This window comes from Homo sapiens, chromosome 20 (assembly GCF_000001405.40).
Source record: "Homo sapiens chromosome 20, GRCh38.p14 Primary Assembly".
In the NCBI taxonomy this organism is placed as follows: domain Eukaryota; kingdom Metazoa; phylum Chordata; class Mammalia; order Primates; family Hominidae; genus Homo; species Homo sapiens.
The window spans coordinates 2,611,579-2,639,008 of NC_000020.11; the positions used below are offsets into that span (position 1 = coordinate 2,611,579).

At 43.1% G+C, this 27,430-nt stretch overlaps 1 protein-coding gene and 1 long non-coding RNA gene across 4 annotated transcripts in view; one reads left to right on the forward strand and one right to left on the reverse strand.

The window, feature by feature from the left end:
• The window catches only part of TMC2 (transmembrane channel like 2), a 107,008-nt gene that overhangs the window by 75,006 nt on the left and 4,572 nt on the right, over nt 1-27,430 (forward strand). For 2 of the 3 annotated variants that reach the window (NM_080751.3, XM_005260660.5), the window contains 7 exons: nt 613-762; nt 1,616-1,744; nt 4,559-4,626; nt 5,494-5,733; nt 12,693-12,818; nt 24,348-24,426; nt 25,896-26,013. In NM_080751.3, the coding sequence (NP_542789.2) occupies nt 613-762; nt 1,616-1,744; nt 4,559-4,626; nt 5,494-5,733; nt 12,693-12,818; nt 24,348-24,426; nt 25,896-26,013 (910 nt within the window). Of the gene's footprint in view, nt 1-612; nt 763-1,615; nt 2,443-4,558; nt 4,628-5,493; nt 5,734-12,692; nt 12,819-24,347; nt 24,427-25,895; nt 26,014-27,430 lie in introns of those variants that run through there. The other variant, XR_001754152.2, reaches the window with a different exon arrangement.
• Nucleotides 2,468-27,430, reverse strand: part of LOC105372505 (uncharacterized) — a 38,419-nt gene continuing 13,456 nt past the window's right edge. The window contains exons 3-5 of the long non-coding RNA XR_007067502.1: nt 7,624-7,721; nt 6,928-7,007; nt 2,468-2,554 (exon numbers count right to left, since the gene is read on the reverse strand). This is a non-coding gene — a long non-coding RNA (uncharacterized LOC105372505). The remainder of the gene's footprint in view (nt 2,555-6,927; nt 7,008-7,623; nt 7,722-27,430) is intronic.

Consider the following 27,430-nt stretch of genomic DNA (forward strand, 5'->3'; position numbering starts at 1 on the left):
TGTGTGATGTGGATGCTCCTTTTCCCAGAGAGAATTTCTCACAGCTCGTATCAGTCTGTTCTGTAATTGCCAGTTCATCTCCATCATTTACTAGACTCTAATCTTTCTGAGCGAACCTCCATCTCTCTTGGTCACTCTTGTATCACCACTACTTTATATGCACAGAAGAAGCCCTGAATAAATTATTTTCAAGAGAATAATGAATGACTGGATAGATGCATGAATGGATGGCTGAATGCTTAGATGGATGAATGGATGGATGGATGGATGGATGGATGGATGGATGGATGGGTGGGTGGGTGGGTGGGTGGATGGATGGATGGATGGATGGATGGATGGATGGATGGATGAATAGACAAGTGGATGGATGGACAGACGGACAGATGAATGCTGACTTAGAGTAGAAGATAACTTCATGGGAAAGACCCAAGAACTACAGCCTCTCCTGTACATATTGAAAGCCTGAGAAGGGAATTTTGGAAGGACTCTGTCCAGGGGAGAGCAGAAGCTAGATGGTAGGGTTGTGGCATTTGCTGGCTTTCACTGTTCTTATGGAAACAGTTGGACCATCCCTAGCTCCTTCCTACCCCACACCTCCATCTTCTGTTCTAGCTTGCTAATGAAGAGACAATAAAGAACATCACTCACTGGACTCTGTTTAACTATTACAACTCTTCTGGTTGGAACGAGAGTGTCCCCCGACCACCCCTGCACCCTGCAGATGTGCCCCGGGGTTCTTGCTGGGAGACAGCTGTGGGCATTGTGAGTAGTTACACTCTCTAAAAAGGTGACCCCTGTTCTCAGTTCTTTGTTATTCCCTCCTTGATGTTTCCATTTGAGGAATAACCCTGAAAACTTACCAGCTGTTCATCCAGCAAACATTTCATAATCATCTAGGAGGAAATAAAATGACCAAAGCAGATCCTGTGACCCCTGGGAACTCCAAATCTCTTTGGTGTCTCAAAGGTTGTGATTGGTGTCTGGTAGATATTTTCAATTTTTCCAAAAACATAGTAAATTATGTCTATTCTACAAATGCAGAGAAAGCTTTGTCCTTCAGTTTTTGGTCCTTCTTCTATGTGCCTCTGTGCAAAACCTGTTTTATTTTCTCTATATATCAAAAAAAAGAAAAAGAAAAAGAAAAATCTGACTAGCAGAAGATGAAAAAAGCTAGGCATTGTCTCCAGTGACTGACGGTCACATTTGGTCTTAGTGGGGGCAGCTGGCACTTCAGAATAAGTGGGGAAGCAAGGCCTTCGGGTCCTAGTGATGATGACTACGATGCATTGGGCATAGTCAATTTAACAGGCAATTTGCATTTGCATACATAATTACTAAGTTTCACAATAGCCTTTTGAGATTGATATCAATATCAACTTCAAGAGGTTCAGAGATTATTCCAAAGCCATACAATTGGTAATGTGGAGCTGGGACCTAAATTAAGCATTTTCCAGAGCCAGGAGTCGCCTCTCTTCACACACAAAGGATCAGAGGGTCACAGAGACAAAGTCAGGTGGGTGGGGGAGAGTTTATTAGACTCTCAACAAACTCTCAGGGAGGGTGGGAGAAGTGGGCAAGGTCTCCAACCACCCCCTCTTCCTGTGTTCCTCTGCAGGAATTCATGAGGCTGACGGTGTCTGACATGCTGGTAACGTACATCACCATCCTGCTGGGGGACTTCCTACGGGCTTGTTTTGTGCGGTTCATGAACTACTGCTGGTGCTGGGACTTGGAGGCTGGATTTGTAGGTCACCACTTCATGGACATTCCGCACAAAGGAATTTCAACTATCTTCTTTGATACTTATAGCCAGATGCATTCTTGGGCATTTCATTTCTTTGGAAGCTTAATGACGGTCTCTGCTCTGTAGAGTAGTAAAGTGTTTAATTTGTATTTCCTTTAAGGGTCCTATTTGCCTTCATAAGGGAAACTGCTTTTTCCCAGTGTAATGAACAATGTGACCTTCTATTCTAGGAAATGGAGGCATTTGGCCTAGGGGAAAGTGGACCACACACTCCAGTACTGAGCCAATGGTTGATAGGGAATTGCATCTGAGCAGCCTCAACTCTCATTATGGGGGCTGAAATCTGACAGTGGAGGCGAATATTTCAGGAAGTCCTGGAACACACCAAGAACACAATAACCATTGGTCCTGTCTTCTGGATGATGCTTTGAGAAACCTCCTTTGACTTGTATTCCCTTATAGCCCTCTTCCCCACCTACCTGGTAAATGTGTGTCATTTCCTCTCTGTAGTGTCCTTCTATGCTCTGGCAGAATCTCTGGCTCAGGCACCTGTGCTGTACATGTCTCTTCCACAACACCTCACTGGCCCAGCCTGCAGTCACTGGTGTGCATGTAAGGTACCTACCTCTTACCTGAGCTCCTGGTGAAAGGCTCCGTAGGATGTTGACCTATGTATCCCTCATCCTGGCCTGGCCCAGGTAAGGGCCCCAGTACAGGTTTCTGTCACATTTTTTTTCGTTCAGTCACCAGTCTCAGTTTTAAACAAGTCTGCTGAGCTCCTCGGCAGCCAGGAAAGCTTCATAATCTTGTCTGAGAACGAAGATGAAAGAACTTTGTGCTCAAAGAGGATGACATCTTTGATAGAAAGACACAATATTACTAAGAGGTCATTGTTCTTAAATTTGTTTGTAAGATCACCACGATTTCCAAATAATACTAAAGTTCATTTGAAAAATAAGCATGTGAGAATATCCAGAAAAAATATTTAAAAAGAAGAATAAGGCCAGGTATGGTGGCTCACACCTGTAATCCTAGCACTTTGGGAGGCCAAATTAGGAGAATTGCTTGAGTCCAGGAGTTCAAGATCAGCCTGGGCAATTTAGCAAGACCCCATCTCTACAAAAAATAAAAAATTAGCTGGGTGTGCTGGTGCATGCCTGTAATCCCAGCTACTCAGGAGGCTAAGGCAGGAGGATCCCTTGATCCCTTGATCACACCACTGCATTCCTGCCTAGGCGACATAGTGAGGCCCTGTCTCAAAAAGTATATAAAGAAAAAATAAAAAGATGAATAAAAGGAACTAGACTTACCATAATACTAAAACATATGATAAAGCTATAATAACTAAAACTGGTACTAGAAAATAGACCAACATGTCAATGGAACAGAATAGAAAGTCCAGAAATAGATACTATCTACATGGGCCTTTAGTTTATGATAAAGGGAGACTTTCAAACACACTGGGGGGAAAGGATTATATTAAAATATATATAAATTATATAAAAATGTGGGGGATTATATCCCTCATTCATTTCATCTAGATTAATTTTAGGCACATCAAAGTCTTAAACATCAAAAAAATGAAAATATAAATTTCTAAAAGAAAGCATGTACAAACTTAGAATCTTGGAGTGAGGAAGATTTGTCTAAGTAGGACATGAAACCCAGTAGATATGTGTTTTTTTTAACATTTTAAAATATTAAAATTTAAATTCTGGGTGGGGGTGCGGTGGCTCACATTGTAGTCCCAGCACTTTGGGAGGCTGAGGTGGGTGGATCACTTGAGGTCAGGAATTCAAGACCATCCTGGCCAGCATGGTGAAACTCCATCTCTACTAAAAATACAAGAATTAGCTGGGCATGGTGCTGCACACCTGTAATCCCAGCTACTTGGGAGGCTGAGGCAGGAGAATCACTTGAACCAGGAGGCAGAGGTTGCAGTGAGCTGAGATTGTGCCACTGCACTCCAGCCTGGGCAACAGAGCGAGACTCCGTCTCAATAAATAAACATCCAAGACTTCACCCCGTGGACTTAATGTATGCATGTTTCCTTCTTCCATCCATGCATGCTGGCCCTTCCTTTGTCTCTTTCCTAACTTCTCATCTCTCCTTCTTGTGTTCTCATTTCCCTTTATCTCCATTTCTGGAAGACAAATTGGGATGTGGGCTTTAGCATGCTTCATGAGGACCCTCATATCCTCAGTGCTCACAGATTTTATGTTCTTTCAAATATTCGGACAAATCACGAAAACTGCAAATGAGGTAGGCTGAAAATATGAACCAAGCTGGGTGCTTTCCTTTCCGTGAACTGCTCTCAGACTGGAGGAAGAAGAGAAGGAGAAAGAAGAGTTGGAAGGATGATTTGGTTTTTGTTTGTTTTTAAGCTTTCTTTTCTTTTGACTCCTCATTTAATTATTTGCATTTCATTATTTATTAGATTTCTCCTTGATTATAATTTCAGGGTATGTTTCTGATTAAAACGTTGATAAAATGTTCTGTTAGAGGCGAGGGTCTTCCCAAGAACACGCTGTCAGCCTGCAAGGCCTGAAAGATAGAAACTGTCATTTTTTTGTTTACTGAAATAGGCATTTTTAAAGTTTCAGCTTTGAGAATGTCAAATTTTTTGTTTAAAAGTTGAAAACATATTAAAGAAATAGAATGCTAAATCTAAGGTTCTTCTCTAGTTACCAGAGCAGGCTCTTTGGGATGGAATGGCCTTGGCTTGGCCAGTTGGTTGGTAGTAGGGTTTGGCTGAATTCACCAAACGTGCTTTTTTTTTTCTCTCTCTCTCTCGCTCCCTCCCTCCCTCTCTAGCCTTCATATGCTGAGTTTGATATTAGTGGAAATGTGCTGGGTTTGATCTTCAACCAAGGAATGATCTGGTGAGTTATCCATTTCATCTGGTGATCGCCTCATCCAAGGAGTCAAAAAACTGGAATCCCAGACTTTGCAACTTAACTAGTTGGAAGAGGCTAGATAAGTCCTCTTGCCTCTCTGAACTCCCCTCTTTCACATGAAAAATCAAGAGCGGGACTAGATGAGAAGCAGGACAGTTTCTGGCCCACCCATGTGCTACCATAGAAGTAGAGAGAAAGGGAGAGGGGTTGGTGGAGGAGAAAAGGAAAAGGAAGGAAGGCAGGAGAGAAGGAGAAGAGGGAAGAAAAAGGGAAGAAGGAAGAAAGACAAAGGAAAGGGAAAAGGAAGGAGTAAAGAAGAGGAGGAAAAGAGGAGGAAAGGAAAATAAAGAAGGAGGGAGGGAGAAAAGAAGGAAGAGAAGGTGGAAGGTAAATGAACTATGGAACTCCCTCTTCTGAAAAGGGAGTTCAAGGAGGTACATAACTTCAGCCAAAGACTTTCAAGGTGCCAAGGGCTCGCTGCAAGCCACTGTCCAATTCTCTCAATTGAAGGACTTCAAATACTCTTCTGAGCAGCAATGCTGTTTTATGGAAACCGAGGAGAAACAGGCAGGAGACCGTATAATTTGCTAGATGCCTGGGGGCGAGTCAGTGGTAAAATCTTGGCCAGAGCTTAAGCCAGGAATGCTCGGAGTGCCTCCCTCTCCTGAGGACTGCATGGTTCTGGCTTGATGATCGATATTCTGGTTAAATGGGAGGCCCCTTACCTGGGGACTTGCCAGGAAAGCAGCTCGGCCTCATGCCCCTAACCCATCCGTCCCATTTCCTTCTATCACCCTTCCCTCGCCTTCCCTGCTGTCCAGCCAACCAGGTGTTTGGTTTCTGCCATTCCAGGATGGGCTCCTTCTATGCTCCAGGCCTGGTGGGCATTAATGTGCTGCGCCTGCTGACCTCCATGTACTTCCAGTGCTGGGCGGTGATGAGCAGCAACGTACCCCATGAACGCGTGTTCAAAGCCTCCCGATCCAACAACTTCTACATGGGCCTCCTGCTGCTGGTGCTCTTCCTCAGCCTCCTGCCGGTGGCCTACACCATCATGTCCCTCCCACCCTCCTTTGACTGCGGGCCGTTCAGGTGCAGAGTCTCAGTTGCCCGGGAGCACCTCCCCTCCCGAGGCAGTCTGCTCAGAGGGCCTCGGCCCAGAATTCCAGTTCTGGTTTCATGCCAGCCTGTAAAAGGCCATGGAACTTTGGGTGAATCACCGATGCCATTTAAGAGGGTTTTCTGCCAGGATGGAAATGTTAGGTCGTTCTGTGTCTGCGCTGTTCATTTCAGTAGCCACCAGCCACCTGTGGCCGTTGAGTGCTTGAAATGAGGAACTGAGAAAATTAATTTCTCATGTATTTTTCTCATTTATTTATTAATTTTTAACTGATAGTTGTACATATTTGGGGGTACATGTGATATTTGGATACATGTATACAATATATAATGATCAAATCAGGGTAACTGGGATATCCATCACATCAAACATTTATTTTTTATTCTTTTTAGACAGAGTCTCACTCTGTCACCCAGGCTGGAGTGCAGTGGTGCCATCTCAGCTTACTGCAACCTCTGCCTGCCAGGTTCAAGCGATTCTCATGCCTCCACCTCCCAAGTAGCTGGGACTACAGGCATGCACCACAATGCCCAACTAATTTTTGTATTTTTAGTAGAGACGGGGTTTTGCCATGTTGCCCAGGCTGGCCTTGAACTCCTGGCCTCAAACAATCCACTTGCCTCGGCCTCCCAAAGTGTTATGATTACAGGCGTGAGCCACCGTGCCTGGCCTAAACATTTATCTTTTCTTTGTGTTGGGAACTTTGAAATTATACAATGAATTATTGTTAACTGTCATCTCCCTGCTGTGCTATGGAACACTGGGACTTCTTCCCTCTATCTAACTGTATATTTGTACCAGTTAACCAACCGTACTTCATCCCCACTCCTCTCTATCCTTCCCAACCTCTGATCACCTCATTCTACTCTCTACCTCCATGAGATCCACTTTTTTAGCTCCCACATGTGAGTAAGAAAATGCAATATTTGTCTTTCTGTGCCTGGCTTATTTCACTTAACATAATGACTTCCTGTTCCATCCATGTTGCTGCAAATGACAGGATTTCGTTCTTAATTTCAATTAAAATAACCACACATGGCTAATGGCTACCATATTCGACAGCACAGTTCTACCCTTTTAACACATGGATAACTTACTACCTGGGATTACTTTACCATAGGATAAGTAATGGTGGATATTCTGAGGATGAATTACCATACACTTACACGTGCCGTTTAAATGTGAAGCAGCTGCAGTGGACTCTTGACAGACCTCAACTGAGCTCTCTGCTCTCCAGAGCATTGGCCTGGGGGTTCAATACATAAGTCAAGCTAGTTGGGAGACTAGATATTGTATAAAAAGACAAATAATTATGTAAGGAGGTAGATCAAGAGATAATGTGCATCTACTGTTCTCTTTCCAAATGCCTGACCTTCTGAAAACAAAGCCCTCTGCCAACTCCGTAAAGAGAGGTTCTGTGGTTAAAGCAGTTTAGGACGTACTGCCCCTTCTGTCTGCCATTATCTCACTTAGAAATGCTCAATGCACACTCCTTTGTTAAAGGCTCTGAAGAATCATGCAATGAGGTAACACCTGTAAGCTAGTGTCTCCGTCCTTATTGACCACAGAACCCTTTCTGCATGGATCACTCATCCAGGGCTGGAAATAGGGTGAGGCAGGTGAGTGACGCCCTACACTGCACATGAGCAACCCTGAGGGCATTACTTCCTTAAATTGTGCACTCAGGGCCTCACCCGCCTCACTCTAGTCCCAACCCTGCCTGCCAATGAGGAGAAACCCTGTCCCGTAAAAGGGTCGTATATGCAAAACAGCCCCTAAATGCCCAAAGAGCCTAGAATCCAAAGGAGGAAGGAGACAAATGCAGTTTGTCGGCTTTGGGTGATTTATTAGGGGTAACTTACAGTCAGATGCATGGTCACAAGCAGCCGTGAGACAGGTAGATCTCCACACCTCAATCCCCCAGGCCCAGGGCTTCTATCTTGGGGAAAGTATGCGTGCTCTGGAAGGAATGTATAGGTGGCTCTGAACATCACAGCCTGTGATTTCTGCAGCAGCATCAAGGGTTGTTTTGGAGGAAACTTTATGTAGGAATAAGAGTTCCTACATAAAGAGTAATACATCTGCTAGTCATGTGGGAGGCACTCTCAGACTCAGGGTTAGTTAGAAGTTACAAGGCAGATTAGCATGTAAAATAAAGTCACTCATGTCCCGCACAAACACACTTTGAGAAATGCTGATCCGGTCTTTCTCAGTTCATAAAGGACTTTACTAGATAAAGGCCTGTGATGGTTGGAGCCCAGGGATGTTAGCAGGAGTGTTCCAGCAGGGTGTGATCTGGAAAACAGTGTTCACACAGAAGGAGGGGATCAGTCTAGAACAGAAGGAATGTGCTGAAGTGCAGATGGCCTAAGATTTAGCCAGGCTGAAAGGAGAACCGAATGGAAGAAGCCTCTGTTGGCTTCTTCCTAAGCAAGGTTTGGAGGGCTGGGCCCTGGGTGCAAATGCCAGCCCCCTTTTTCTCAGCTTCCCATCTGTCACTGGGTAGGAGGTCAGCAGGGACAATTATACTATGATAAGAACCATCTCCTACAGTTGTATGGAAAACTGAACTTATAAGAAAGGAACTTGGCTAGCCAGGCATGGTGGTACGTGCCTGTAGTCCCAGCTACTTGGGAGGCTGAGGTGGGAGGATTGCTTGATCCCAGGAGGTGGAAGTTGCAATAAGCCATGATTGCACCACTGCACTCCAGCCTGGGCAACATAGCAAGGCTCTGCTTCAAAAAAGAAAAAAAGAAAAGAGAAGAGAAGAAAAAAACAGAACTTGGGTATTTAGCTGAAGAGATTCCCAAGCAAAGTATTGAAGGTACAGCCTGGTTTCTTCATGCTGCTTATAGAAAATGTGCAAGGAAAGAGGTATGTTGAGTAAGTAACTGATAAACAAGAAAGTACCAGGATTTGATGATTCTGGAAATTCTCAGCCTTATCTAGATTGCAAAATATGCTAAAACTAGATTCACTGTCATGAGAATGTGCTGTAAAAAGAAAGCCAAGAGTGAGTCTGGATAACCTTTTGCTAGTGTTTCTGAAAGATCAAAAGGTCTGAATATCATTCACACAGAAAACTCTGACTAATCGTGTGACTAATGCATCGCCTCAACCATCACATCAGAAGTCAGGAATAGAAATAGGATTATCCAGAAAAGATCATGTGGGACTCTCTTCTTTAACAGAGTACATTCTCATGACATACATGAAAAACTCACACAGTTTTTGACAATATTATATCAGCGGAAACATTACCAACTTGGACTGAAAGAAACAGAAAGAAGACAAAATAAAGGCAGATCATTGGCCTCCCAGAATTCTGTGGCGGGAAACAGACTGATAAAATTTACTCAGCTGAGACATGTGCTATCCTTCAAGAAGAAGGAAGGGTGGAAGTGTTCTTCCAAGGGCAGAACTGTGAACCCACAAGGGCAAAGCTATGGGCACAGTAGGGCAGAGTCTGCAGCCCAGAGGATTATTCTCAGGACTTTAAAACTTAATGGAGCTTGGCTGATTGGATTTCAAAATTGCTTGGAACTGGTGATTCCTTTCTTCCTTCCATTTTCTCCCTTTTGGTAATGGAGTGTTTACAACTTTTATCCTATGCCTGTCCCACCATTTTATTTTTGAGAGTAAATAACTCATTTTCTAGTTCCTAGAATCTTGAGATGGGGATATCATCATGGATTAGCCAGGTGGGCCCTAAGTCACAAGTGTTCTTATAAGAAGGAGGGAGGCCGGGTGCAGTGGCTCACGCCTGTAATCCCACAACTTTGGGAGGCTGAGGCGGGCAGATCACGAGATCAGGAGTTCAAGACCAGCCTGGCCAACATGGTGAAACCCCGTTTCTACTAAAGATACAAAAAATTAGCCAGGTGTGGTGGTGCGTGCCTGTAATCCCAGCTACTCGGGAGGCTGAGGCAGGAGAATCGCTTGAACCCGGGAGGTGGAGGTTGCAGTGAGCCAAGATCATGCCACTACACTCCAGACTGGGCAACAGGGTGAGACTCCATCTCAACAACAACAAAAAAAAAAAAAAAGGAAGGAGAGGGAGGGAGATTTGACTACAGAAAAATAGAAGGTGATGTGACCATAGAAGCAGGCAGAGATTTAAAGATTCTGTGCTGTTGGTTTTGAACATGGAGAAACCCCATCTCTACTAAAAATACAAAAACTAGCCAGGCGTGGTGGCAAGTGCCTATAATTCCAGCTACTCGCAAGGCTGAGGCAGGAGAATCACTTGAACCCGGGAGGCAGAGGTTGCAGTGAGCCGAAATCATGCCACTGCACTCCAGACTGGGCAACGAGCAAGACTCTGTCTCAAAAAATAAAAAATAAAACCCCTAATGGAGCTTGGCTGATTGGATTTCAAAATTGCTTGAGGTTGGTGATTCTTTCTTCCTTCCATTTTCTCCTTTTTGGTATTGGAAAGTTTATAACTGTTATCCTATGCCTGCCCCAGGTTAGTTTCAACCCAGTGAATCCCTTTCAGACTTCTGGCCTCCAGAACTGTAAGATATTAAATTTGTATTGTTTTAAGCCACCAGCGTGACAAACAGCAGGCACTAGAATCTGATACACCATCTAATTCAACGACAAAATAATCTACATTCAACTGTCACATAAAAGCCTAACACGTAAACTTAACTTTTCTCATTTGTACATGGCGGGTATGCACTGGAAATAAAAATAATAATAATAATAAATGAAACATTGTCATACAGTGATGTGCCTGGCACTTGAAATGCCATCATGCTATAACTGCGTCATTGCAATTTGTGGTGTGCTGGGCAACAGTTGTAAGCAATGAGATGGCCACAAATGGTCTCTGACACAACTGCTCTTCCCTGTCATTATAGCACAAAAAATGAGTGAGCATGGCTGTGTTCCAATAATACTTTATTTACAGACACTAAAATTTTAATTTTATACTTCAATTTTTACATGTCACAAAATAGTATTCCTGTTTTGACTTGCTTTCAACTACTTAAAAATGTAAAAATGATTCTTAGCTCACAGACCATATGAAAACAGGTGACAGACTAGGCGCAGTGGCTCACACCTGTAATCCCAGTACTTTGGGAGGCCAAAGCAGGTGGATCACCTGAGGTCAGGAGTTCAAGACCAGCCTGGCCAACATGGCGAAACCCCGTCTCTACTAAAAATACAAAAATTAGCCGGGCGTAGTGGTGCCTGCCTGTAATCCACCAGGCATTGTGTGTAAACTCTGGAGGCTGAGACAGGAGAATTGCTTGAAACCCAGAGGCAGAGGTTGCAGTGAGCTGAGATTGCACCACTGCACTCCAGCCTGGACGACAGAGAGAGACTCTGTCTCAAAAAAAAAAGAAAGAAAGAAAAGAAAAGAAAGAAAAAGAAAACAGGTAACAAGCTGAATTTGTCCATGAGCCATTGTCGGTGAACTCCTCATCTATACTTTACACAGAAAATGTTTAGCTGCAAAATTTTGAAGGGCGCTTATAACTTAACAGCACTACACTCAATGTTTTATATCAATTCTCATCTATATCCTCTAAACAATCTTCTGAGATAAATACAATTATTATACTTAAAATACCATATTATACTATAGTATTATTATACTACATTATACAGATGGGGAAACTGGGGCAGAGAAATTTTCAATACCTTGCCCAAAGGTATTGAACTTCTGCAGATATTGAACATCCAATAGAACTTACTGTAATGATGAAAACATTCCATATCTGCATTTCTAACACAGCAGCTACTAATCATATGACTATTAAGCACTTGAAATGTGTAACTAAGAAACTGAATTTCAAATTTGACTTCATCTTAATTTTTATTTTTAATAGCCACATCAGACAGCACAGCTTTCGTGGGGAGAACCAGGGCATGATATGAATACAAGCAGAAAGAGAATAATTGTCAGGCCGGGCACAGTGGTTCACGCCTGTAATCCCAGCACTTTGGGAGGCTGAGGTGGGCGGATCATTTGAGGTCAGAAGTTTGAGAGCAGCCTGGCCAACATGGTGAAACACCATCTCTACTAAAAATACAAAAAATTAGGCAGGCGTGGTGGCGCTCACCTGTAATCCCAGTTACTTGAAAGGCTGAGGCAGGAGAATTGCTTGAATCCGGGGGTGGAGGTTGCAGTGAGCTGAAATTGTGCCACTGCACTCAAGCCTGGGTGTCAGAGTGAGACTCCATCAAAAAAAAAAAAAAGACAGAGAGAGAGAGAATAATTGTCCACGTGTCTCACCAGTGATAAATGGGGGATCAAGGATTTAAACCAGGAATTTCAAACCCCGTATTCCACCTCTTGGCACCAAAATTATCAACCAAGAGCCAGCAGCATCCAGGAGTCTCTGGGCCAGCATTTGTAGAAGTAAATCTGCATAATGGTTCTTAGGTATTTGAAGAAAATAAAAATTACAGTTGTGAACTGTCCAGGAGCCTGTCCTAGGTGATCCAATATCTCCTAGACTTAAAATCTGAAGGTTAATTCTAGGTATTTCTGAGAGACACTCAGGTTGTCCAGCACATCAGCTTCTGCAGAACTGTTTCCCAGGCCCAAAGGAAGCTCCATGTTGGCCTGGTAGCTACAAACACAGACAATTTCTCCAGTTAGAATACATGAGGAAAACCATTTTTTTCTGGCTGAGGAAGGTGTCAGACACAAAAGACCAGTGAAGGCTAAGAGGTTGTAAGTTACTTAGGATAGAAAGCCGGTGAGCCGTGTGCCGACCCAGCTGTCACCCTAGCCAGAATGGCAGCCCCTCAGGGGGAATTTTTTACTTGCAGTTCATTTGGAGCAGAGCTCTGGTTCTTCCAGGAAAGCAGTGGCAGGCAGCAGCCCTGGACCTGGGTAGGGGGGCCATGGACACAGCTGTGAATGCCACAGGCACATGGCAGCATGTTATATTGTGTCCTCTCCTTTTTCCAGTGGGAAAAACAGAATGTACGATGTCCTCCAAGAGACCATTGAAAACGATTTCCCAACCTTCCTGGGCAAGATCTTTGCTTTCCTCGCCAATCCAGGCCTGATCATCCCAGCCATCCTGCTGATGTTGTAAGTTAGCCAGGACCCATGGCTCCACCCCACGGAAACTTCTCCTTGAATTTGAGACTTCCTTGGCAGGTCCTTTTCATCTTGCCTTCTTAGTCTGCACTCCCCAGAAGCAGAATCCATGACAAGGATTCAAGTGTAAGTATTTTATTAGGGAGGGGGTGAGGACTTGAGACAAGGAAGGGAAAGGAAAATGCATGGTTATCACTGTGAGAATTCTGGGAGGCAGTGTGCCTCAGACTCAGCCCTCCCTAAGGGCAAAGGATCCGAGGCATTTATAGACCAGCTCCCAGCGTCATTCATGGGTAAAATGGCTTCAAGGGGTGTGAGTGAGGGGTCCAAGAGGGAAGGGAAGCTTCTGGTAACAGAGATGAGGGCACCAGCAAGTGCAAGTCTTTTGGAGCACACTGAAAATTTGGGTGAGCCCTGACAGTATCTGCAACAACTCCCACTAAAATGCTCACTAGAAATATCAAAGTCCTGTGGGCTCTGAGCCTATCAGGAAGCTGAACGGTGATTCGGCCTGATCCTGGCTGGGCCCACAGCACTACTCGATGGAGCAGCTTATACACTGGAACAAGCTGGTTCCTTCATCACTGTCCCCCTCAACAACCATTAGAGAACAAGTTCGAAAATCTCTGTATCCCCGGTGCCAGCCTAATGCCTAGAGCATAGCAGGCAAACAGTAAATGCTCAAGGAAAGAACTAGGGAAGAAAGGCAGGAAGCCAGAGTCTTGGATTGGAATTGTTGCCATCAAAAAATGTGCTAGTAAAAATGTTAGCATTTTTTCTTTATTTAAAAAAATCTTATTTTGGCATGCTTTTTTAAAAATTATGAAATATTCCCAGCATACAAATGAGTACAGACAACCATGTACACGATCACAAGATTCAACAGATGTTAACATTTTGCAATATTTACTTCAGGTTTATCTTTCTTCGTAATAGAAATAAAACATTACAGATGCACTTCAAGCCCCACTCAATCCTTCTTTCTTCCTCCCTCCCCAAAGGTAACTATTATACAGACTAGATTTAATTATTTCCATGCATATTTTGTACTTTTTAATCACATGTGTGTATAGTACTGTTTCCGGAGTTTTAAACCTTTTCATGAATGACTCACATTACATGCTTTTCCTCAAACAACATTATGTTGGGGGATTTATCCATGCGGATACATGAGCACATGTTTGAAGGCTCTACTATGTTCCATCTCATGAATAAGCCACAGTTTATCCATTCCTCTGCATAGGGATAGTTAGGCTGTTTCCACTTTTCGGCTATTGCAAACTGCGCTCCAGCCAACATTTTGTATATATCTCCTTGCACAATTCTGAGAGTTGCTCTAAGGTAGACATCTAGAAGCAGAATTGTGGGTCATCAGCATGTGTTTCTTCAATCTTTTTAGATCTTACAGAATTGCTCTCCAAAGTGGTTGTATTCCCTTTGGACTGTTATTTATAAATTCCAACTCTCCGGTGAAATTCTCCAGCTTTCTATTTTCTTGAACATAGTGGTTATAATTACTTTTAAAATCCCAGTCTGATATTCCAATATCTGAACCACCTGGGTGTATTTTTGTTGTCATTTGTTTTCCTCTTGTTTATCCTCAGCCCTACTTTTATCATGGCATGTAATTTTTACTAGATGTCAGACATGTGGATGAAAAATTATAGAGGCTGTGAATAATGTTATCTTTCCCCAAAGGGATGGGTTTTTTTTCCTGAAGGGCAAATGGAATACTAGGAGATCACTTAATCCTGTCAAGACTTGATGTTTTAGCTATCTATTATTACATAAGAAACAACCCCCAAAACTGAAAAATAATATTTTATTAATGAATCTGCAATTTGGGTAGGACTTAGCAGGAATCATTCTTTTCCTCTCTACTCAACATCATCTGGGTCAGCTCAGCTGGAGGCTGGAGGGCCCACTTTCAAGATGGTCACTCACATGACTGGCCAGCTGGCACTGGAGGCCTCACTTCCTTCTCACAAGCTGCTTGGGCTTCCTCATAGTATGGTGGCTGAGTTTCAGGAGCAAGCATCCCAAGAGAATGCAGTGGATATACATGGCATCTTTACTTACTCCTGCCATACTCTATTGAAGCAATCACAAAGGGATACCCAGGTTCAAGAGAAAGAAATATAGACTTATCTTTTGATGAGGCAATGACAAGATTCTAGAAGCACATGTAAGACAGGAGTCATAGTATTGTGGCCATCTTTGGAAAATAGTTTGCTATTGCTAGCTTTGGGCTTTCTCAGGGCTGATTTATTTCAGTTTTGCCCTATTTCCAAGACACTGACCTTACTCCTACAATGTGATCCTTACTATTGAGCACAGTCTTTTAGGGGTCTCAACTGAAAGCCTACAGTGTTTACCAATTCCCTCCTGTGACAGTTACTACGGGACTGAACGAAGTAGGACGAACACAGAAATGAAGACAAAGAAAAAAAGGATTTGTTTTAAAGAACGGGTCAGGGGACTCCTTGCTTCTAGTGAGCAAAGGCAGCCCTGAGCTTCTGCAGCCCTGAGCTTCTACAGCCCTTCGTATTTATTGGGTAGAAAGAGCAGGGAGGAGGAGGTAACGATTGGTCAGCTGTTTGATTGATCACGGGTTCACATCATTGCTAACAGGCCTCAGATGTGCCTAACCACAAGAAACACTGTGCCTGGGGCGTGACTGCCCTCAGCATTCCTTCTGGGTGCCGACATAGTTGTCAGCTTGCCAACATCCTGCATTCATGAGAACAGCTTGCTGTTTACTCATATAGCCTCCAGTCGTATACTGAGTTGATCACGACCCTCATTCTTTTGGCCTCCACCACCCTCCACCTTGGCAGGGCTTAAAACCCATTCTCTCTTTTCCCAATTCTTCCGTCTTTGCTTATTCTTTTTCTCCAGTAGTACTGCTACAGCCACTGTGAAATCTCTGCTCTGCTCTTCAGCCTCTCTGGTGTCATTTTCTTCTGGGCTTCCTGAAGCAATTGAAGAATTGGTCAATCATTTGAGGGCAATTTGTACACAGAGTTTGGCTTATTTATCTGCAATTTGTTCTTCTCTGGGATTCTGCCCCTCAAGTCCCAAAGACTGTGGCAGTAATTAACTCTGACCTGCATCTTCTCCACATTGTAAGATTTCCACTTTCTGCTTGGACTCTGCTTCTGGGTCACAAATTGGAAAATACTCTCAGGGAGAAACCCTGGAGGAATGTGGAGCTCACCTCACATGCTTCCCTTCTCTCAAGCATCAAGTCCCTTTAGTCTGCCTGTCACTCTCCCATGTCTTAAACTACAGTTTTGTAAATTTTGCTCAGCATTTACAGTTGTTTTTCTCTGGAGAGCTGGACCAATACAAGTCCCTTAGTCAAGACCAGAAAAAGAAGTCTTTTCTTTCTTCATTTGATTTTCCACAGAGGCAGGCTCCCTAGCACCAAAACAACAACAAAAATAATCTGTGATCATTTTTATTAGAATTCAGAAAGAAGGCCGAGCATGGTGGCTCACACCTGTAATCCCAATACTTTGGGAGGCCGAGGTGGGCAGATCACCTGAGGTCAGGAGTTTGAGACCAGCCTGGCCGGCATGGTGAAACCCCATGTCTACTAAAAATACAAAAATAAGCCAGCTGTGGTGGTGTGTGCCTGTAATCCCAGCTACTTGAGAGACTGAGGTAGGAGAATTGCTTGAACCCAGGAGGCAGAGGTTGCAGTGAGCCAAGATCATGCCACTGCACTCCAGCCTGGGCAAAAGAGCGAGACTCTGTCTCAAAAAAAAAAAAAAAATCCAGAAAGAATTGGCACACCTATGTTGTTAAGTTTTCCAATCCAAGAATACTGTATTCCTTATCATTTTTTCATTTATGTCTCTCAATATTTTTAAGTTTTCTTCATAAATTTCATGCACATTTCTTATTAAATGTATTCCTCTGCATTTCTCTTTTTGTTATGATAAATTAGGATAGCTCTTTCATCATACTTTCTAACTAGTTTTTGTTTTTCTATGTAAATGTTATTTATTTTCTATATATAAATTTTGTATTCAGTCACTGATATAGTTAGGCTTTGTGCCCCCATCCACATTTCATCTTGAATTGTAATCCCCATAATCCCCACATTTCAAGGGCGGGGCCAAGTGGAGGTAATTGGTTCATGGAGGCAGTTCCCCCCGTGCCGTTCTTGTGATAGTGAGTGAGTTCTCACAAGATCTGATGGTTTTATAAGGGGCTCTTCCCACTTTGCTCGGCACTTCTCCTTCCCGCCACTTTGTGAAGAAGGTGCCTTGCTTCCCCTTCACCTTCCACCTGTAAGTTTCCTGAGGCCTCACCAGCCATGCTGAACAGTGAGTCAATTAAATCTCTTTCCTTTATAAATTACTCAGTCTTGGGTAGTTCTTTATAGCAGTATGAAAACAGGCTAATAAGGCCGGGCACAGTGGCTCATGCCTGTAATCCCAGCACTTTGGGAGGCCGAGGCGGGCAGATCACGAGGTCAGGAGATCGAGACCATCCTGGCTAACACGGTGAAACCCCGTCTCTACTAAAAACACAAAAAATTAGCCGGGCGTGGTGGCGGGCGCCTGTGGTCCCAGCTACTCGGGAGGCTGAGGCAGGAGAATGGCGTGAACCCGGGAGGCGGAGCTTGCAGTGAGCCGAGATCGCGCCACTGTACTCCAGCCTGGGCGACAGAGTGAGACTCCATCTCAAAAAAAAGAAAACAGGCTAATACAGTCACCCTATGAGTGTATTGTTTATCATATTTACTCAACCAAAGTTCTTGAATCTTCCAGGTCATTTTCTCATTTGTAAACAATGAAAATGTTATATTTTATTTAATTCTTAGATCTCTTTTTTTCTCTGTAGGATTAATTAGTACCTTCCATGGGAAAAACAAGTTAATTAATATTTGGTGATGAAATATATTTTTGTATTTTTCCTGCATTTACAGGGTGGGGAGTGCTTTTAATGTTTTCAGTTAAGCACAGTACTGCTTTTTTGGAGAGTTGAGATAAGTATATTCATGAAATAAGGAAGAAAACAACCAGGGAATGTAAGTCATTGTAACATAGGTATAAGAAATCAATAATTAGGAAAGTGGAGTAACTTTTCTAATTATTGATTTCTTACAGAAGTAAAAAAAAAAAAAAAAAAGTGACCTCAAAAGGTGGTGGTGAATTTAGGGCCATTACTAGCCCATATAGTACCTTGTGCAAATTTTTTAAAGGTGCCCACTCCTTCAGACGGAGGTAGGCCCATGCCAAGGGGCACATTTGACAAACAGAATATGGATAGATTTCAGCCAGCAGTCACCCCCTTAGTCAGGTGCCTTTTATGCAGTAAACAGCCTGTATAATGGCTATCTAAGCCAGAATCTTTTTCCTTTGGTGTAGACCAGGGGTCATCAAACTGTAGTCCACAAGCTAAATCCGGACCACACTTGATTTTGTTAAATAAAGTTTTATTGGAACATATTCATGCTCATTCATTTATTTATTATCTATGACTGTTTTTCACAGAAAAAGACAGAATTTACTTGTTGTGATAAGGAATGTATTGTCTAGAAAGACTAAAATATTTATTGCCTGGCCCTCTGCAGAAAAAGTTTGCTGATCCCTAATGCAGACAATAAGGAACCACTTTCAAATATGCTTTGACACTGAACTTAAAACACCTAATCAGTAAGACTTAAAAATAATGACAAATAATAAGTCCAAAAAATATTTAGAAGAAGAAGGAATTAGGATTGTAGAAGACAATAAATCTTGAACTTGAGCCTTGATAAATTCAAGGCTCAGGAAAAGGAGTCGATTGCATTGGATAGAACTTTTAGAGTTGTTCAAGTCTACTATTTTCTTGTTGACCTTCTAATTGTTTCTATTACTGAAAGTAAAGCATTGAATTTCCAGCTATTATTATTGGATTGTCCATTATCTCTCCCTTAAATTCTGTTTTTGCTTCGTATGTTTTAAGGCTGTGTTGTTAGGTGCATATATGTTTTTACTTATTACATTTTCTTGATGAAATGACCCTTTTACAATTACAAAATAATCCTATTTGTCTCTAACAATTTTTGTCTTAATGTGTTTCCCATCCTTTTACTTTCAATCTACTATTACCTTAAAAATCTGAAGTGTGCATTTTTTGGCTGGGTGTGGTGGCTCATGCTGGTAATACCAGCACTTTGGGAGGCTGAGGCAGGAAGATTGCTTGAGCCCAGGAGTTTGATATCAGCCTGGGCAACATGGCAAGACCCATCTCTACAAAAACTTTAAAAATTAACTGAGTGTGGTGGCACATGCCTGTAGTTCCAGCTACTTGGGAGGCGACAAAGGTGGAGGATTGCTTGAACTGAAAAGGTTGAGGCTGCAGTGAACCATGTTTGTACCACTGCATTCCACCCTGGGTGACAGACTGAGACCTTCTCTCTAAATAAATAAATGAAATAAAATATAGTGTGCTTCTTTGGAAAAGCATATAGCTGAAGCATAGTGTTTATCCATTCTGTCAATCTGTGCTTTTTATATGGAGTGTTTGATTCATTTACATTTAATTACCAATAAGTTAACATTTATGTCTGCTGTTTTCTATATGTCTTATGTATTTTTGTTATTTTATTCCTCTATTACTGCTTTCTTTTGGGTTAAATATTTTAGTACATAATTTTAGTTCCCACGTCATTTCTCTAACTATATTTTGTTTTAGTTATTTTCTCAGTGATTGCCCTGGAGATTATAATTAATATAACAAACTACTTTGAATTAATACCAACTTAATTATAATAGTATACAAAAACCTTGTCCCTGTACAACTCCATTCCCTCCACTCTCCTTCAGGTTGTTTCTGCCACACAAATTACATCTTTATACATTTTATGCCAACTGAATAAGACAGGAGAAAAAAGAGCTACAAAGACTACATTGATACTAGCTTTCATGTTAACCCATGTAGTTACCTTTACTAGTGCTCTTTATTTCTTCATGTAGATTCAAGTTACTGTCTAGTGTCCTTTCGTTTTAACCTAAAGAGCTCCCTCTAGCATTTCTTACAGAGTAGGTCTGCTAGTGATTACTTCTCTTGGTTTTTATCTGGGAATGACTTAATTTCTCCTTCATTCTTGAAGAACAGTTTTGCTGGATTTAGAATTTTTGGTTGATAGTCTTTCTCTTTCAATCTTTCAAATATGTCATCCCACTGCCATTTGGCCTCCATGGTTTATATGAAAAAACAATTGACTGTTAATCTTTCTGAGGCTTTCTTGTATATGATTATTTGTTTCTCTCTTTCTGGATTCTCTCTTTGACTATGGCTGTTTTTTTTTTCAATTTGCTATGATATGTCTAGGACTAGATCTCTTTGAGTTTATCCTGCATGGAATTTGTTGAGCTTCCTGTGTAAATTAATATTTTTTCATCATATTTGGGGATGAAATCTGATTAAAAATAGCCATTATTTATTCAAATATTCTTTCTGACCCTTTCTGTCTTTCCTCTCCTCCTCAGATTCCCATTAGGCATGTGTTGATACATTTGCTGTTGTCCCATAGGCTGTGTTATTTTACCTCATTCTTTTTTCTTTCTGTTCCTCAGACTGGATAATCTCAACTGATCTATTTTCAAGTTCATTGATTCTTTTTTTTTTTTTTCGAGATGGTGTCTCACTCTGTCACCCAGGCTAGAGTGCAGTGGCATGATCTCAGCTCACTGCAGCCTCCACCTCCCAGGTTCCAGCGATTCTCCTGCCTCAGCCTGTCGAGTAGCTGGGATTACCGGCATGTGCCACCACACCTAGCTAATTTGTGTATTTTTAGTAGAGATGGGTTTCACTATGTTGGCCAGGCTGGTTCTTTCTTCTGTCATCTCAGATATGTTGAGCACCTCCAGAAAATTTATTATTTCAGTTATTGTAGATTTCAACTCCAGAATTTCTATTTGGTTATTTTATTTATTTCTTTTTGCTAATATTCTTTATTTGGTGAGACATCATTTTGATACTTTCAGTTCTTTAGAAATGGTTTTGTATCGTTCTTTGATCATATTCTTTGATCATATTTAACATAACTGATTTAAAGTCTTTGTCTCTTAAATACAGCATCAAGGTTTCCTCAGGAATGGTTTCTATTGACTACTTTTCCCCCTGTGTATGGGCCAGGCTTTCTTTTTTCTTTGTATGTCTTACTAGATTTTTGGGGTTTTTTGTTTTTGTTTTTGTTTTTTTACAGAGTCTCACTCTGTTGCCCAGGCTGGAATGCAGTGGCGAGATCTTGGCTCACTGCAACCTCCACCTCCTGGGCTCAAGCAATTCTCCTGCCCCAGCCTCCCGAGTAGCTGGGATTACAGGCGCCCGCCACTATGCCCAGCTAATTTTTTGTATTTTTAGTAGAAATGGGGTTTCCCCATGTTGGCCAGGCTGGTCTCGAACTCCTGACTTTGTGATTCACCCGCCTCAGCCTCCCAAAGTGCTGGGATTACAGGCGTGAGCCACTGCACCCAGCCATGTCTTACTAGTTTTTGCTGAAAACTGGATATCTTAAATAGTATTATATGGCAGCCATGGAAATCAGGTTCGCCTCCCTTCCATGGGTTTGTTGTTGTTGCTGTTTGTTGTTATAATTGTTGTCGTTATTGTTGTTTAATAACTTTTCTGAACTAATTATGTAAAGTCTGTTTTCTTTGTTGTGTGTGGCCACTAAAGTCTGTGCTCAGTTAGCTTAGTAGACACCTACTGACTGGAAAGAGATTTTCTTACATGTCTGGAACCAGTAAGACTCCCAGTATTTCCCAACAGGCTCTGTGTATGTATTGGGGTATGCCTTCAACATTCAACCAGGCAGTTTACAACTCTACCTTAGCTGTCACTGACTGCTTGTTCAGAGACTCAAGGTTACCAGAGGTGAGAGCTCAGGGCCTTCTCAAGTCTTTCTTGGACACATAAACAGCCCTGGACAGGCACAGAGCCTTACACATCATGCACACAGTTCTCTATAGATTCCCAGGAATATTTCAAAGTGTTTTAAAGCCCCCATTGGACATCCCATTCCCCAGTTCTCCTTTTAAACTTTTTGGTTAGCCTATTGTTTGCCCCAACTGTTATGCAACACTTCTCACAGCCGTGATGTTCAACAATTGCCTCTGATTGCTTTTGCCAATCTCAGAGAAAAAGTTCACACTGATTGGGCTTTGAGCCAGGTCAAATAAAGATAGCCTTGTGAGTAGTATCAACCACTGGATAAATCAAATAATGACAGTTCTCTGGGTCTGAGGATTTTAAGGTGCTCCAAATCCATTCTACCTCCTCCAGTGACTGCCAGGCTACTGATTTTCACCAAAATTTGGTGCTGTTGGTTTCCAAACCTACTACAGAACTGGGTAGGGGAGGGGATATAAGGCAACTTAGATGCTGCAGAACTCACTGTTCTTGCTGGAATTTAGCTGTTTTCCTTGAAAAGGTACTCCCTAGATCTGCTGCAAACCTTTGGTTAATTTTGAGTTCTGAAAAAATTTGATTCTGACAATTTTGGCTGGCATTCTCACTGCTTTTAAGGAAGAGAGGATTTTCAGAAGTCTTTGCCAATTTTGCTGACATCTGGATTGAACTTTAGCCTTGGATGGGCTTAAAGACTTTGTTAAAACCTTCCCTCTTTGACTATCATCTTTGTTGTTCCTTAGATGTATCTGTTTGTCTCTGTCTGTTTATGCTTTGAAATTCCCAAAAAGTATTTCAAGAAATGGCTGCTCCTCATCAGGGCTCTCTTCAGCTACAGGATAGTCTGATGAAGCCGGCCTCCCCCAACGCTGTGGTCAGTTTCCTGCCCGCTGCTCAAAGGCTGCCAGCCTGGAGGGGAACTGGAGCTCCACACTCTGCAATGGCGCCTCTCCTTCAGCACCCTCTCTGGTAGCTTACTCAAAATGAACATAGACTCACAGAGATTCCAGGACCCTAAGGGGGCCAGAGTGAATGTAGAATCCTTTCATTTGTTCATCTATTCATGTAACACCCATTCTTGAAGATCTGCTCTGTGCCCTGAATACTGTCATTGCCAACAGCAAACACTTGTGTGTTGTTTTATATCCTTGATTTCAAATTTCCTCTGCTGCTGGCATGACAGGGATGACATGATAGTGACAATCTGGATTGCCTTGTGCCCTCCTGGGGAAATTCTGAAAGCCAGACACCAAACCTGACCCTGAAGGCACCAAGGAGAAATGCTAAATTTGGAAACAACCTTGGGAGGTACATAGCCACCCATGAGCATTTTATCCACCATTTGCTGGGTCTGTGATCTTGAGCCAGACAAGTTACCTCTCTGGCCTCTGACCTCTGATTCCTCCCTTAAAAAAATGGGCTAATTAGGTAAATGGCAAGGACTGGCCCAGAGTAATGCCTTACATAACAGAAATTGGTCTCTTCACCTGTCCTTTATTCTCTCCTCCCCTCACCTATAGTTCTCTGAATCTCTGAATCCTTGCTTCAGAAGGCTCACTTGACAGCCTCTGACCTACACTCTGCCCCAAAGACCATGGGGCTCCTCTTCTCTGACTGGAGAGGGCTCACAGGCTCTATTGAGGCAGTTATGGATGGCCTAGCCCTGAGGGGGAAGGTTCCAGAGACCAAAGCTGGAGCAGCTGAGCTTGAAAGTCATGGAGAAAAACTACTAATAAGGATGGACATAAAAAGCTAGCAGATAATAGGCTGGCAAAGCATCCACTCCAGGTGGCAGTCTGGCTTTTGTGTGTCCTGTGTAGTACAGTCCAGGTCATAACCCCAGACCTTAGGACCTGTGAAAAGAAAGCCTGGGCTGCAGCCTCAAAGGACACCCGATCACCTAGTGAGCCAATGGGGGCTGGACTCTAAAACCCATAAGGTCAGGGCCAGACATGCTAGGGCACTCTGAGCAGGAGGCTTCAGAGCATCTGCAATTGTGCTTCTTCGGCAAACTTAGGTCTCTTAACACCTCCACCTCCCCCTCTCAGGGTTTGAAAACTGTAGAAAAAGTGTTGGTTTCCAATGTGGGCTGCAAAGAGTACTCATGGGTGGGATGACCTTGGCAAATTATTTAACCTCACTGAGTCCCAGGACCCAGGCCTTTAAACATAGAAGTCTACTCTCTGCTTCATGGCATTTTCATCAAAGCCAATGAGATGGGGTGGGGTGGGGGTGGATTGTGCACATGGCACAGAGCTTGGCACAGGGCAGGTGCCCAGGAAACGTGACCAGCTTCTTCTGCAGTCAGTAAACCCTGCCACCCTCTGGCCACCTCAGATTTCCCAGAAGAGGGATGATTCCTCCAGCCAACCTTTACTGAGCACTCGCAGAGCTAGAGCTATGTAGTTATGCCCACGCATAATAAAATAGAGAGGATGCAGGGGCATCCAGGACCTTCTCCACATTGAGAAAAGAAGATGGTAGGACACCCACCCAAAGCCTCAGTAACTATTCCAGGAATCCTGCCCTGATTCCCCAAGAAAGGCGCCCAGCTCCTATCATCTGCCAAGATCACGGGACCATAGGAGGCATGCTTTTCTCTTGCAGCTTGGCCATTTACTACCTGAACTCAGTTTCCAAAAGCCTTTCCCGAGCTAATGCCCAGCTGAGGAAGAAAATCCAAGTGGTGAGTCTGTTGGGAGTTTCATCCTGGACGGTAAAAAGAGATCATGTTTTTGGTTTTTGCTAATTTGCTGTGTGAGCCCAGCTGTGTTATCTAAATGGCTTTCTTCTAAACCAAATCCCAAAATATCTGTATTATGGGAAGTAGCCTTGTGAGATTCAACAGCATGCATTTATATTATTGAGGCTATTTGGTGATTTGTGACAATAATGACTTAAATTTCAAGGGGTTACTAAAGAACAGGAGAAATTCAGTGAGTTCAGCCAATGCTCATACAGAAAAAGCCAGTATCCACAATAACTCCTACAGGTTAAAGTGAATATTTAAATACTAAAAGAAATGTTGTCAAAATCACGTATTTCTTGTGCCCTTTAGCCTAAAAGATCTCCTGAGTCCCCTTCACACATGGGAAGCCTCTCTCAACATCCCAGCTGACACCCTACTTCTGACTGCTGTCTACACACACACACACACACACACACACACACACACGCACACACCCTAAAATTCAGACCCTAACCCTCCCTAAGCCCTGTTCTTGCTTTCTCTGTCCCTCTTCTGGAGTGAATTTCATCTGTCTTGCTACTGGTCCCCCCGTCCACACCTTCTTCTGGTTTTTTGTTTGTTTGTTTGTTTGTTTTAAGATGGAGTCTCGCTCTGTCACCAGGCTGGAGTGCAGTGGCACGATCCCAGCTCACTGCAACCTCCACCTCCCAGGTTCAAGTGATTCTCCTGCCTCAGCCTCCCAAGTAGCTGGGACTACAGGCGTGCATGCACCACCACACCCAGCTAATTTTTGTATTTTTAGTACATGTGAGCCAGGATGGTCACCATATCTTGACCTCGTGATCCGCCTGCCTTGGTCTCCCAAAGTGCTGGGATTATAGGCGTGAGCCACCGTGCCCAGCCCCTTCTTCTGTTAATCTCACTGGGCTCCTGCCCAGGTACAGAAAACCACTGAAATAGAGGATTGGAAAGATCGCTGTCCTCTGGCCACATGTTCCTTCAATTGCTATGTGAATCTGAGAGCCTCAGGCTGCCCTCTCCAATCAGTTGTGAGGACCAGTAACAGGCAGTTTAAGATAGACACCAAGAACTGAAAACAGGCCGGGCATGGTGGCTCACGCCTGTAATCCCAGCACTTTGTGAGGCCGAGGCCGGTGGATCACCTCAAGTCAGGAGTTGAAGACCAGCTGGGCTAACATGGTGAACCCGTCTCTACTAAAAATACAAAAATTAGCCAGGTGTGGTGGCACACACCTGTAATCCCAGCTACTCGAGAGGCTGAGGGCAGGAGAATCGCTTGAACCCAGGAGGCAGAGATTGCAGTGAGCCGAGTTCACGCCGCTGCACTCCAGCCTGGGCAACAGAGTGAGACTCTGTCTCAAAAAAAAAAAAAATCACTCTCAACACCTCTGAGCCTCAAAGACCCATTTCCTGGGCCAGGACCAACAGTTCATTATTTCCTGCAGCTCCGTGAAGTTGAGAAGAGTCACAAATCTGTAAAAGGCAAAGCCACAGCCAGAGATTCAGAGGACACACCTAAAAGCAGCTCCAAAAATGCCACCCAGCTCCAACTCACCAAGGAAGGTAAGCTCTTTGTCATAATGATTATGTTTTACAAGGCCACATGGAAAGGTGTAAAGAGCCTATGAAACAGCGTGAAATCAGACTGTTCTGGGATTGAAATCAGAATCCTAACAATTATTAGCTTATGAAGTTGGGCAGGTGAATATAGGGGTCAATCATAGCACCTGCCTCATGGGATGGTGAAGATGAGATGTAATCATGCATGTAAAGTGCCTACCAGAATTCCTGGCACAGAGAATGAGCCAATGAATACCAGCTGGCAGTAGTGCCGTCATGCACCCCTTAATAACATTTGGATCAACCATGGATGGCATCTACAATGGTGGCCCCATAAGATTATAATGGAGCTGAATAATTCCTATTGCCAAGTGACGTAACTGTCAACATTGTAGCAAAACACATTACTCATGTGTTTGTTGTGAGCTGGTGTAAACAAGCCTACTGAGCTGCCAGTTATATAAAAGTCTAGGCCGGGCGTGGTGGCTCACGCCTGCAATCCCAGCACTTTGGGAGGCCGACGCGGGCGGATCACAAGGTCAGGAGATCGAGGCCATCCTGGCTGACACGGTGAAACCCTATCTCTACTAAAAATACAAAAAATTAGCCGGGCGTGGTGGCGGGCGCCTGTAGTCCCAGCTGCTTGGGAGGCTGAGGCAGGAGAATGGTGTGAACCCGGGAGGCGGAGCTTGCAGTGAGCCGAGCTTGCAATGAGCTGAGATTGTGCCACTGCACTCCAGCCTGGGCAACAGAGCAAGACTCCATCTCAAAAAAAAAAAATCTCTAGCACATACAATTATATATGGCACAGAATACTCAATAATGATAATAATTATGTTACTGGCTTATGTGTTTACTATACTATACTTTTTACTATTATTTTAGAGTAGATTCCTTCTACTTATATAAAAAATAGTTAACTGTAAAACAGCCTCAGGCAGGTCCTTCAGGAGCTATTCCAGAAGAAGGTGTTGTTATCACAGGAGATGACAGCTCCATGTGTGTTATTGCCCCTGAAGACCTTCCAGTGGGACAAGATGTGGAGGTGGAAGACAGTGATATTGATGATCCCAACCCTTTGTAGACCTAGGCTAATGTGTGTGTTGCATCTTAGTTTTTAACAAGAAACATTTTAAAAGTAAAAAGAAAAAAAATTCTTAAAAACAGAAAAAGCTTATCAAATAAGGATATAAAGAAAAAATATTTTTGTACAGGTGGTCAGTGTATTTGTGTTTTAAGCCAACTGTTATTATAAAAGAGATAAAGTAGAAAAGTTACAATAAGCTAAGGTTTATTATTGAAGAAAGAAAAAAAAAATTTTTTTTGAGACAGAGTCTCACTCTGTCACCCAGGCTGGAATGCAGTGGTGTGATCTCGGCTCACTGCAGCCTCCACCTCCAGGGTTCAAGTGATTCTCCTG